Source organism: Homo sapiens, chromosome X (genome assembly GCF_000001405.40).
Source record: "Homo sapiens chromosome X, GRCh38.p14 Primary Assembly".
In the NCBI taxonomy this organism is placed as follows: Eukaryota; Metazoa; Chordata; class Mammalia; order Primates; family Hominidae; genus Homo; species Homo sapiens.
In genome coordinates, this window is record NC_000023.11 from 68,782,684 (window position 1) to 68,794,980 (window position 12,297).

Sequence of the window (12,297 nt, forward strand, 5' to 3'; positions counted from 1 at the left end):
ATGCATGGTTAATTTTTTATGTTTTTTTGTAGTGATCGGGTTTCACCATGTTGCCCAGACTGGTCTTGAACTCTTGGGCTCAAACGATCCACCTACCTTGGCCTCACAAAGTGCTGGGATTACAGGCATGAACCACTGTGACCAGCTCAGATTTCTCATCCACAATGTAGAGCTAATGATAACATCTTCCTCCAAGGTGGCTGGAAAGATAAGGCAATGGTTAAGAACAAGGCCTCCCATTCTGTAAGTTGCCTGTTCACTCTGATGGTAGCTTCTTTTGCTGTGCAGAAGCTCTTTAGTTGAATTAGATCCCATTTGTCAATTTTGGCTTTTGTTGCCATTGCTTTTGGTGTTTTACACATGAAGTCCTTGCCCATGCCTATGTCCTGAATGGTATTGCCTAGGTTTTCTTCTAGGGTTTTTATGGTTTTAGGTCTAACATTTAAAGGGCTAATATCCAGAATCTACAAAGAACTCAAACAAATTTACAAGAAAAAAACAACCCCATCACAAAGTGGGCGAAGGATATGAACAGCCACTTCTCAAAAGAAGACATTTATGCAGACGACAGACACATGAAAAAATGCTCATCATCACTGGCCATCAGAGAAATGCAAATCAAAACTACAATGAGATACCATCTCACACCAGTTAGAATGGCGATCATTAAAAAGTCAGGAAACAGCTTTTCTCGGCCCAGCCATCTTGTGGGAAGAGCTGAAGCAGGCGCTTTCGGCTCTGCGCGGCCCACTGCAATCCGTGGAGGAATGTGCCCCCGAGCCACCATCATGCCTGGGCACTTACAGGAGGGCTTCAGCTGCGTGGTCACCAACCGATTCGACCAGTTATTTGTTGACGAATCGGACCCCTTCGAGGTGCTGAAGGCAGCGGAGAAAAAGAAAAAAGAAGCCGGCGGGCCGGCGTTGGAGGCCCTGGGGCCAAGAGCGTAGCTCAGGCCGCGGCCCAGACCAACTCCAACGCGGCAGGCAAGCAGCTGCGCAAGGAGTCCCAGAAAGACCGCAAGAACCCGCTGCCCCCCAGCGTTGGCGTGGTTGACAAGAAAGAGGAGACGCAGCCGCCCATGGCGCTTAAGAAAGAAGGAATAAAAGAATTAACCTAAATTAAAAAAATGCAAAAATTAGCCGGGTGTGGTGGTGTGTGCCTGTAATCCTAGCTACTTGGGAGGCTGAGGCAGGAGAATTGCTGGAACCTGGGAGGCTGAAGTTGCAGTGAGCCGAGATCACGCCACTGCACTCCAGCCTGGGCCACAGAGTGAGACTCCGTCTCAAAAAAAAAAAAAAAAAAAAAAAAAAAAAAAAAAAAAAAAAAAGAAGAAACAGTATGCATGTAGGTTTTCTCTATGTCTGTTCATAGCTTGATGGCTTGTTTCTCTTTAATGTTGAATAATAACCCATGGTATGGATATACCAGAATTTGTTTATCCACTCACTTATTGGAGGATATCTTGGTTGCTTTGAATTTTTGGTAATTATAAATAAAGCTGCTAAAACATTAAAAAAAAAAAAAGAAAGAAGGAATAAGATGAATTGGAAGAACACCTGATCAACAACTTCAGGGTGGAGGGAAAATAATTGATAGAAGACCAGAAAGGCGACCACCTTGTGAACGAAGATTTGAAAAGTCACTTGAAGAAAAGGGTGAACGAGGCGAATTTTCAGCTGATAGACCGATTATTGACCGACATATTCGAGGTCGTGGTAGTCTTGGAAGAGGTCGAGGGGGCCGTGGACATGGAATGGGCAGAGGAGATGGATTTGATTCTCGTGGCAAACGTGAATTTGATAGGCATAGTGGAAGTGATAGATCTGGCCTGAAGCACGAGGACAAACGTGGAGGTAGCGGATCTCACAACTGGGGAACTGTTAAAGACGAATTAACTGACTTGGATCAATCAAATGTGACTGAGGAAACACCTGAAGGTGAAGAACATCATCCAGTGGCAGCCACTGAAAATAAGGAGAATGAAGTTGAAGAGGTAAAAGAGGAGGGTCCAAAAGAGATGACTTTGGATGAGTGGAAGGCTATTCAAAATAAGGACTGGGCAAAAGTAGAATTTAATATCCGAAAACCAAATGAAGGTGCTGATGGGCAGTGGAAGAAGGGATTTGTTCTTCATAAATCAAAGAGTGAAGAGGCTCATGCTGAAGATTCGGTTATGGACCGTCATTTCCGGAAGCCAGCAAATGATATAACGTCTCAGCTGGAGATCAATTTTGGAGACCTTGGCCGCCCAGGACCTGGCGGCAGGGGAGGAGGAGGTGGATGTGGGCGTGGTGGGCGCCCAAACCGTGGCAGCAGGACCGGCAAGTCAAGTGCTTCTGCTCCTGATGTGGATAACCCAGAGGCATTCCCAGCTGTGGCTTAACTGGATGCCATAAGACAACCCTGGTTCCTTTGTGAACCTTTCTGTTCAAAGCTTTTGCATGCTTAAGGATTCCAAAGGACTATTTAAAAAAAAAAAAAAAGACTGTCATTCATACCATTCACACCTAAAGACTGAATTTTATCTGTTTTAAAAATGAACTTCTCTTGCTACACAGAAATAACAAACACGTTATTTGTCAGTTTTGTATTTAGAAATGTATTGGTAGCAGGGATGTTTTCATAATTTTCAGAGATTATGCATTCTTCATGAATACTTTTGTATTGCTGCTTGCAAATATGCATTTCCAAACTTGAAATATAGGTGTGAACAGTGTGTACCAGTTTAAAGTTTTCACTTCATTTGTGTTTTTAAATTAAGGATTTAGAAGTTCCCCCAATTACAAACTGGTTTTAAATATTGGACATACTGGTTGTAATACCTGCTTTGCATATTCACACATGGTCAACTGGGACATGTTAAACTTTGATTTGTCAAATTTTATGCTGTGTGGAATACTAACTATATGTATTTTAACTTAGTTTTAATATTTGCATTTTTGGGGAAAAATCTTTTTTCACTTCTCGTGATAGCTGTTATATATATATATGCTAAATCTTTATATACAGAAATATCAGTACTTGAACAAATTCAAAGCACATTGGTTTATTAACCCTTGCTCCTTGCATGGCTCATTAGGTTCAAATTGTAACTGACTTACATTTTCAACTATATTTACTTTTTAAATGCATAATTTTCCCATTTTAAAATCTAAACTAGACATCTTAATTGGTGAAAGTTGTTTAAACTACTTATTGTTGGTAGGCACATCCTGTCAAGTGAAGTAGTTTTATAGGTATGGGTTTTTTTCTCCCTCTCCACCAGGGTGGGTGGAATAAGTTGAGTTTGCCAATGTGTAATATTTAAACTGTTCTGTAAAATAAGTATCTGGCCATTTGGTATGATTTCTGTGTGTGAAAGTTCCCCAAATCAAAATGGTACATCCATAATCAGCAACCATTTAACCCTTCCTTGTTCTAAAACAAACAAAAACCAAAGGGCACTGGTTGGCAGGGTGAGGCGGGGGAGTATTTTAATTTTTGGAATTTAGGAAGCAGACAGCTTTACTTTATAAGCTTGGAACAGCAACACTATACATGAAATATAAACCAAAAATCTTTACTGTTTCTAAATTTCCTAGATTGCTATTATTTGGTCGTAAGTTGAGTATTCCACAGAAAGTGGTAATTATCTTTTCTGTCTTCCTCCATTAGAAAATTAGATTAATAATGGATTCCCATAATGGGAATAATCACCACTTATTAAAACACACATAGAATGATGAATAAAAAAAGTTTTCTAGGAAAAAAAAGTCAGGAAACAACAGATGCTGGAGAGGATGTGGAGAAATAGGAACACTTTTACACTGTTGGTGGGACGGTAAACTAGTTCAACCATTGTGGAAGACAGTGTGGTGATTCCTCAAGGATCTAGAACTAGAAATACCATTTGACGCAGCCATCCCATTACTGGGTATATACCCAAAGGATTATAAATCATGCTGCTATAAAGACACATGCACACGTATGTTTATTGCGGCACTATTCACAATAGCAGACTTGGAACCAACCCAAATGCCCATCAGTGATAGACTGGATTAAGACAATGTGGCATATATACACCATGGAATACTATGCAGCCATAAAAAAGGATGAGTTCATGTCCTCTGTAGGGACATGGATGAAACTGGAAGCCATCATTCTCAGCAAACTATCACAAGGACAAAAAAACAAACACCGCATGTTCTCACTCATAGGTGGGAATTGAACAATGAGAACACTTGGACACAGGAAGGGGAACATCACACACCAGGGCCTGTCGTGGGGTGTGGGGAGGGGGGAGGGATAGCATTAGGAGATATACCTAATGTAAATTATGAGTTAAAGGGTGCAGCACACCAACATGGCGCATGTATACATATGTAACAAACCTGCACATTGTGCACATGTACCCTAGAACTTAAAGTATAATAACAATAAAAAAAAGAATAAGGCCTCTAGCAGTGGAATTAGAATCTCCTGAGTAAGAGCAGCCTCTGATTTGCTGGTATCCTCATCCATTCCATTGGTCTGCTCTCCTCAGAGAGTTAGGCTGTAGGTTAGGGAGGCAAAGGCCCTTGAATTGCTCTTTTCCTGAAGAAAAGAAGGGAAATGGTCCATTATTGAGGCCCTCCTGCACATGTAGCCCTGTGCTCTGTGCTCTAGATATCTTCTCTTATTGACCTTGACAACTACCAGGTAGGGCATTTTCATTACCCCATGTCACAGATGAGAACTCCAAGGCCATATAACAGGAAGTGAGGGTAGAAAACAGGGGCCAGCCTGAGTTTCAGGCCCCTACCCTGGGGAAAGATGCCAACTCATTGTGGGGAAAACTGTTCTACTGTCACAGAAAGGCCCAGTCCTGCCTACCTTCTAGATTCTTGGTCTAGAAGAGGCACCTTCTCCCAGCCATGGGTGGGAATGCCCACTATGTTTGCTGAGCCTTGTCCTAAAGGGTGTATGTGCCTTGGAAGCATGCCCTAGGATTCAACCACTTACCAAGCCCTTCCAAGAGGAGATCACGAAGATGATGTCACTGAAGCTCCCCAAGCAGACAAATATGCACAAACCTTTATAAAGACGTTTCAAAGCAATTTATAAAGGAATAGTACATCCTGCTCTGGAGAAATGGGGTTGACCTTGGATATAGGGCTCAGAATGGAAGCTATCCAAGACTGATGGCACATCCTTGAGCTAGATATTCATCTCTCTGTTCTTATCCACATACCTCTATTCATATTTTGTACATAATTTATAATTTTATATTTCCTCTAGCAGATAATCCCAGAGCTCTAGCCTGGCCCTAGGCTGTGGCAGCCATAACCATAAAATGCTGAGACAGAAAGCGAAGAAGAAATCAAGTAGAGAAAAGCAAATGCCTATGCACGATCTGATTTCTTTCAGATCCTGGATATGTGGGTTGGTATTTATTTGCATGTCTGGAATCTGTTCTAACTAGCCACCTCTGCTCACTAACTTCTTCTGTGTACTTCTCTTTTTCTCCAAAAAGCCTCACACAACCTGGGCACTTGAAATAAGTACATATGATAAATGACCTGGTTTCTCTAATAACAAATATATATATATATATATATATATAGAGAGAGAGAGAGAGAGAGAGAGAGAGAGAGAGAGAGAGACAGACAGACAGAAACATTTAACAGTTTGTGTAGTGCTTTCACATAAATTATCTTATCTGATCACCAACCCCAGAGTCCTACCAAAGAGTTCTTAATATGTCTATTTGACAGATGAGGAAACTGATATTCTGAGAGGTAACATGAGAGGGAGATGGTAAGTGGAGCACACACTGGAGAGGGATGCAGGAGTCCTAGGTACAAGTCCTGGCATGGCTACTTATTCATTCCATGGCCTTGAGAAACTTATTCCCCTGCTCTGTGCCTCAGTTTCCTTAACTATAAAATGAGGGGATTAGATCAGATCATGGATGAAACTTTAATCAATAGATGATAACTATCCGGAGCACTGCCTGGAGACAGATTCTGAGGCACATCTGGGCTAAGGAGGAACTCCAGCATAACCATAATAGGTTCAGTGCCCAATGCACAAAGCAAGTCAATATGCCAAGACATTGGGTTGCAGCAGAAAAAGAGTTTTAATCATAGAGTCACTGAATGAGGAGATGGGAGGAAACGTCAAACCTTTCTCACGGGAAAAGGTTGAGGCTAGGAATTTTAAGGGATTTGGAGTGGGCCAAAGTGTGGAGATCCTTGACTAGTTGAAGAGTGCAGCGTGAAGTCACGAGAAAGGGGATGAAAAAGTTGTTATTCTCATGCTGATTTCATTTCTCCTTGTGGGTCTTCAAACTGGTTGCTGAAATTTGGGGTCTGAAAAACATCTTAAAAAATCCTTAAACAAAAGCCTTATGATTCTAGTGTCAGAGAGCCTGTCCATGGGAACAGTGGGGATGCAAACAGTGAGAATCTAGTGCCACCTGACCTTCAGCAATAAGGGAGTGGGCCAAAGTTCAGCCTGATTCATGCTTTATTATAAATATGTTTCTGTCCATAAGCCAGCACGCAATTCTATCAGCCCTGTGGAAATGGTTTCACTGGGATAGATTAGGAGGGGAGCAGTAGCACAGGCGCTCCCTTTTTTTAGCCTTCCTTTTGCTGTCTTTGGGCTACAGGGTATTTATGAGCCCATTCCAGCTCTGAGAGTTTTGGGTTTCCAAGTGGTTTGCCTCTGAGGTCGCCCAGAAGAGCTGGGACTGGGCTCATTCCTCTGCCCAATAGGCTTTCTACCTGCCAAGCTCCACTGTGAAGCACTAGACTTAGAATTGACTTCGGTCCTAGGCATTTAATCAATATTTGCTGAGTTTTTGCTTTGTAGTTTAGGGAAAACCACTTCTCTTCTTTGAGCCTCAAGTTCTTCCCTCATTTGGCAAAAGGAGCTAACTAGACATCTATCATAGTAACATACCAAGCAAGGGGCAGATCTGGCCTCCAGGCCAAGAGTTCCCTCACTGCGTGGCATTTCTTCCATCAGGGTGACTGGTAGGCTTGTGAGACTTCAACGAGATAAATTCTTCATACCAACTTCTAGCAATTGTGTCTCACCAAGTTTTCAGGGGTGGAAACAGACTCAGTAAGGGGTGCAGCTAATGGTGGCTGATAGCATGGGCTCTTGAAGGAGGCTGCTGACATTTACATCCTGACTCTGCCACTGTTTAAACTTAGGCAAGTTACCAGGCAGTGCCCCCGTTTCTCTATCTGTAAAATACAGCTATTCCTAGCATCTACCTTATAAGGTTATGAGGACACAAGTGAATGCATAGAAAAAGCTTAGAAGAGTGTCTGGCTCATTGTTAATGACCAATAGATGTTCACTATTTTTATCGTCCAAGGTAACTGTATGGCAGATGTGCCTGACAGCAATAACTTAAGCATACCCTGCAAATGACCCAATGGTCTAGGAAGAATGTGTGCTCAGAGTTCCAAGCTAAGGAATCCAGGAGTGGCCAACCCGGAGATTCATTCCTTATCTTTGAGGAACATCTGAAGCCTTGGCTCATTCCTTGGAACACAGGACATGAAAGGAACTGAGGCCCTTTGTTTTGGGTTAAATGGAGGTTGCTACGGGAAGAGTGCTAAGTAAAAACATTGTATAAATTGCATGCTTTTTGCAAATGGCAGTGGTTCCCCTGACTAGTCCTCTACCACTGAACCTTCCCTGTAAGTCCCCCCAGTAAACTCTATGTCTTGTTCGCTGTCTCCTGGTCTCTTCTTCAACCTCTCAGACATGGTGGCATCTCTGTTGAAGTCAATAGGGGTCCAGCACAACAGTAATGCAGCAAGCCACAGGCAGAACCGGCCTCCAAGCCAAGAACTCCCTCACCGCATGACACTTCTTCCATCAGGATGACCCAGGAATGAGTGAGTGAGCAGGGACAAGAATCCTAGGTCCTGAGCAGTGCTCAGATCTGGTTTCTGACTGAGTTTATGAAGAGTGGGCTTGTCTCAGGGCCTGTGGGCAAGGTGGCAGCAGTCCAACTGTGTAACTGTGTGAGGGTGTCATACTTCTTCTCCTCAGCTCTGCAGAGCGTGGGCAGAGAGAGAAAGGAAGCCTGCACAGTGGCGGGTAGCAGGGAGACCTGGGAAAAGAACTTTTACCTCCAAGCTACCCTCTTCTTTTTCTTCCTCTCCCTCTTTCTCCTCTTTACCACCTCCTCCTCTCCATCCTCCTCTCCCTTTCTCCTCTTCCTTCTTTTTATTTTTTAAAGATTTCTCATTGTATATTTTTCATATTATGGAAAGTAACATATATTTTTAAAAGTAACATGTTACTTTTAAAAATAACAGCTTTATTGAGATTGAAGGGAATCAAAATATTATATCCCAAAACACATTTATTTGACATATTTTGAGATGGCTGTCAGGGGCCCAGCAAACAGAAGCGTCCCTGCAAAGCTGTCTTTTGTGGGGACAATTTGCATCTGTGGAGAATCTGCACTGATGCAGCCAGGCCTTCCCTTGTCAGGATCTGGGAAAGATGAACCAAGAGTCTCACACCCTAAAGATCTGAAAGAAACATTCATCGTCTTTTCTCTCTGAGGGCTGCTACCTGTGAGGGTTCATCTACCTAAGGAGACCACCTTTGCTCCTCAGGCCTCCCCTTCTGCCCCTCCCATAACCTGTCCTGCCACCGTAACCTGATTTACCACCATGACCTGTTTTAGGCCATGCCTCAAGGGAGCTCCCATTCTTTCTGTAACCTCAAGATAGTATATAAGCTTCTGAGAATGATGATTTCCAATTTCATCCATGTCCCTACAAAGGACATGAACTCATCATTTTTTATGGCTGCATAGTATTCCATGGTGCATATGTGCCACATTTTCTTAATCCAGTCTATCATTGTTGGACATTTGGGTTGGTTCCAAGTCTTTGCTATTGTGAATAATGCCGCAATAAACATACGTGTGCATGTGTCTTTATAGCAGCATGATTTATAGTCCTTTGGGTATATACCCAGTAATGGGATGAGTTAGTGGGTGCAGCGCACCAGCATGGCACATGTATACATATGTAACTAACCTGCACATTGTGCACATGTACCCTAAAACTTAAAGTAAAAAAAAATTTAAAAAAAGATAGTATATAAGCTTCTGCATTCCATTGTGGGGTTGGGTAATCATCTGTGATGCTCCCCGTGTACACATGAATAAATTGTATGCCTTCCCCACTCCACCAGTTAGCCTGCCTTTTGTGAATTGATTTTTCAGTGAACTCTACAGTATCTACTTGAGCTCTCTGAAACTGCCTTTGCAAAAATAACAACAGGAAATTATTACAGTGAAAGAGATCTGAACTAACCAACTCCATCTTGCTTCTAACCTCTAAGATGTTCCTGTTCATTACTGGGTGTAGGCCAAACAACTTTTGGAGAAACTTAGTTTATAGTTTAATACTGAAAAAGATGATAGCTGCCCTTTCCCAAAACAAGTCCCCTTCTTGTGTGGGAACTAAACTGCCTTTGCCAGACTAACAAATTAGCCACAAGATTATAAATTATGGTTTAGGAACCACTGTGGTAAAACTTGAGATCAGTGCTTGAGATATTTTGCACATCCTGTATTCTGATGCACCAGGTGATGCCACCAAGATTGAAAAACTGGCTTATCTGGTCTTCTGGCCCCCACCCAGGAACTAACTCAGCACAAAAGAACAGCTTCAACTCCCTATGAGTTCATCTTTGACCCGACCAATAAACACTCCTCACTTTCTGACCCCATATCCACCAAATTATCCTTAAAAACACTGATCCCTGAATTTTTGAGGTAACTGATTTGAGTAATAATAAAACTTCCATGTCCCATACAGCTGGCTCTGCATGAATTAATCTCCTTCTCTATTGCAATTCCCCCATCTTGATAAATTGGCTCTGTCTAGACAGCAGGCAAGGAGAATCCAATGGGAGGTTACACCTTCACACGTTTATATCCCCCTCCCTGATTCAGTTGGAGCCACTGACAGGCAGACCATTCCCCTGAAACAATGCCACTCCCCTGAGATGGCACCTGAACTTTGACGGCACAGTTCAGGGGAAAGAAATACCCAAATGATATAGGATAGGGTTCAAGCTTTTCCTTCTTCAGGAGAAGTGTGTCTCTGTGGCTGGAGGTGTGCAAACAGAGGCTGTGAGAACAATTGCTGGGGATGCTACAAAAGGGCTTGGGGCATCAGATGCTGGTGGTAATGGACATGGAGTGGAAATAGATAAATCCATATCCTTTCCTTCTTTGAGAGCTAGTATTTGGACATTGTGCCCAGTTGTTTTCCAGAGATGATTCCAGAGCTCCCGCATAGACAGATAGTGGGGGACAGGTCCCCAGCCAGGTCAACACGGTTCCCCTGGAATTAGTGAGTGGTCTCAGAGGCCCCTTGATATCATTGTTGTTTTGCCTACCTGCCTCACACATTCAGGTTCCCCACCCTTGATGTGGCCCTGGTTGCTCAGTGAAGGATGGGCCTTGGACACTCAAGCCAGCCCACTGTGGTTTGGCACGTGTCAAGACTTACAGTTGAGGTGGCAGAGGTGGGAGATACTGGGGCTCAGGTAGCAAGTTGTCTGCCTCCTAAGGCAGGTCTACTCCAAGCATGGCATGGATCCAGCTATGCTCTTCCATTTTGCTAACTTATCTGGAGTCTTTGTGTCTGCATGTCTCACTAGAAATGCATATGTAGGCAGGAGTTTCCCAGGGAAGTGGGGGAGAGAGGAAGAGAGGGATAGAGGAAGGGAGGGAGAGAGGGAATGAACTAACTTTTATTGAGCTTTATTTATATGCCAGCTGCCATATTAAGCACCAAAGGAAGAATGGGTTAATGGAGAAAGGCTTTAGAGTTAGACACTCATTCACTCACTCATAATTGTATCCATTTATTAAGTAAATATTTATTGAGCCTACTATGTGTCAGGCATTGTGCTAGATACTGGAGACACAAATGAAATTTCTAACCCCATGAAATTAAATTACAGTCTACTAGGAGAGACAGACATCAAGCAAAGAATTCCTCAAAATGATCCCTAATTACAAAGTGTGATAAATGCTCTGGAAAAAAAATAGAGGCATTGAGAGTGCATAGTAAGGGGAGCCTGATTCAGATCGTGGGGCAGGGGAATGTCGGGGAAATCCTCTATGAGGAAAAGAGGAAGAAACGGACAGCATGAGCAGAAGTTAGCCAAAGCAAGAGTGGAGGGAAAAATATTCCAGATAAAGGGAAATTTTTAAGCTAGAGCCTCGGGGTAGGGAAGAGATTAGAATGCTTAAAGAATTGAAAGGAAACTGGTGTGATTGAGGCAAAGAAATTGAGCCACCACACAGGGTTTGTTCCTTCCTAATCCCCTTCCAGGTAACCAAGGGTCAGGGACTTTGTGCTGTTTTTGAAAGTGGGAGAGAGAGGCCATGTTGAGGAAACCACAGGCTGCCCAGCTTCCCCAGGCCTGAGCCCAGCTCTCTCTTTCCTCCAGCAGCCCACTGTAGTACATGAACACTCAATGAGAGGTTCTGGAACCTGGGAGGGGCCTAAGCCAGCCTGGCTATTTCCACTGTGTTCTTAAAATCTGTTTCTGGTGTCCCCTTCTCTAAGTATCTTTTGAGTGCCTGTTCTGTGCCAAGCCTGTGCTGGGTGCCGAGGATATAGATATGAATTTGACATTTCTCCCTCAGTGAGCTCACCGTCCAGTGGTGGAAGCATACAGAGATAATGACCACCTTTAGCATCGGGAGGACCTCAGCATCTAGCTTTGATCTCTCCTGCTGCAGTTCAGGGTGATGTCACCCCAGGCTCATTTCCACCAGCCCTTCCTTGGTTTCCTGATATCACCTTGGTAGGGCTGTTGTAGGCACTTCAGACATCAAGCCAGACTCCTGATAGTGTTCTGCTCACGAAGACCAGGGACTTCCGATTTCCCTTTGGCTTTTCTGTCTCCACTATTTTATCTCCCAGCACTCAAAACTCAACAGAAAAATATTTACATAAGCTAGTGGCAGGGCTGGGCTGAGGTAGGGCTCACTGGAAGCTTCTGTACTCTAACCCCTCTGAGATCACAGAATAGAAGAGGACACTGGACTTGGACTGATTCCAGAAGCAGGGATAGAAAGCACCTGGGACCTGGGGAATTAGCTAGCTAGAGTCGCGGGAGAGATGCCAAACATCAGGAAGAAGCCCCGATTCCCACTTCTTCTACCCTCCCCAAGCCATGCCAATCACTAGCCATGTCACAGGGTAGAGGGTCCACCCCTTCCTTCTGGGGGGCATGGGAAGACAGCAGGCACGGTGATACAGAGCA

General features: G+C 43.5%; 1 pseudogene; it reads left to right on the forward strand.

Annotated features, from left to right (window-relative positions):
* On the forward strand, positions 690–3,748 carry SERBP1P1 (SERPINE1 mRNA binding protein 1 pseudogene 1; annotated as a pseudogene).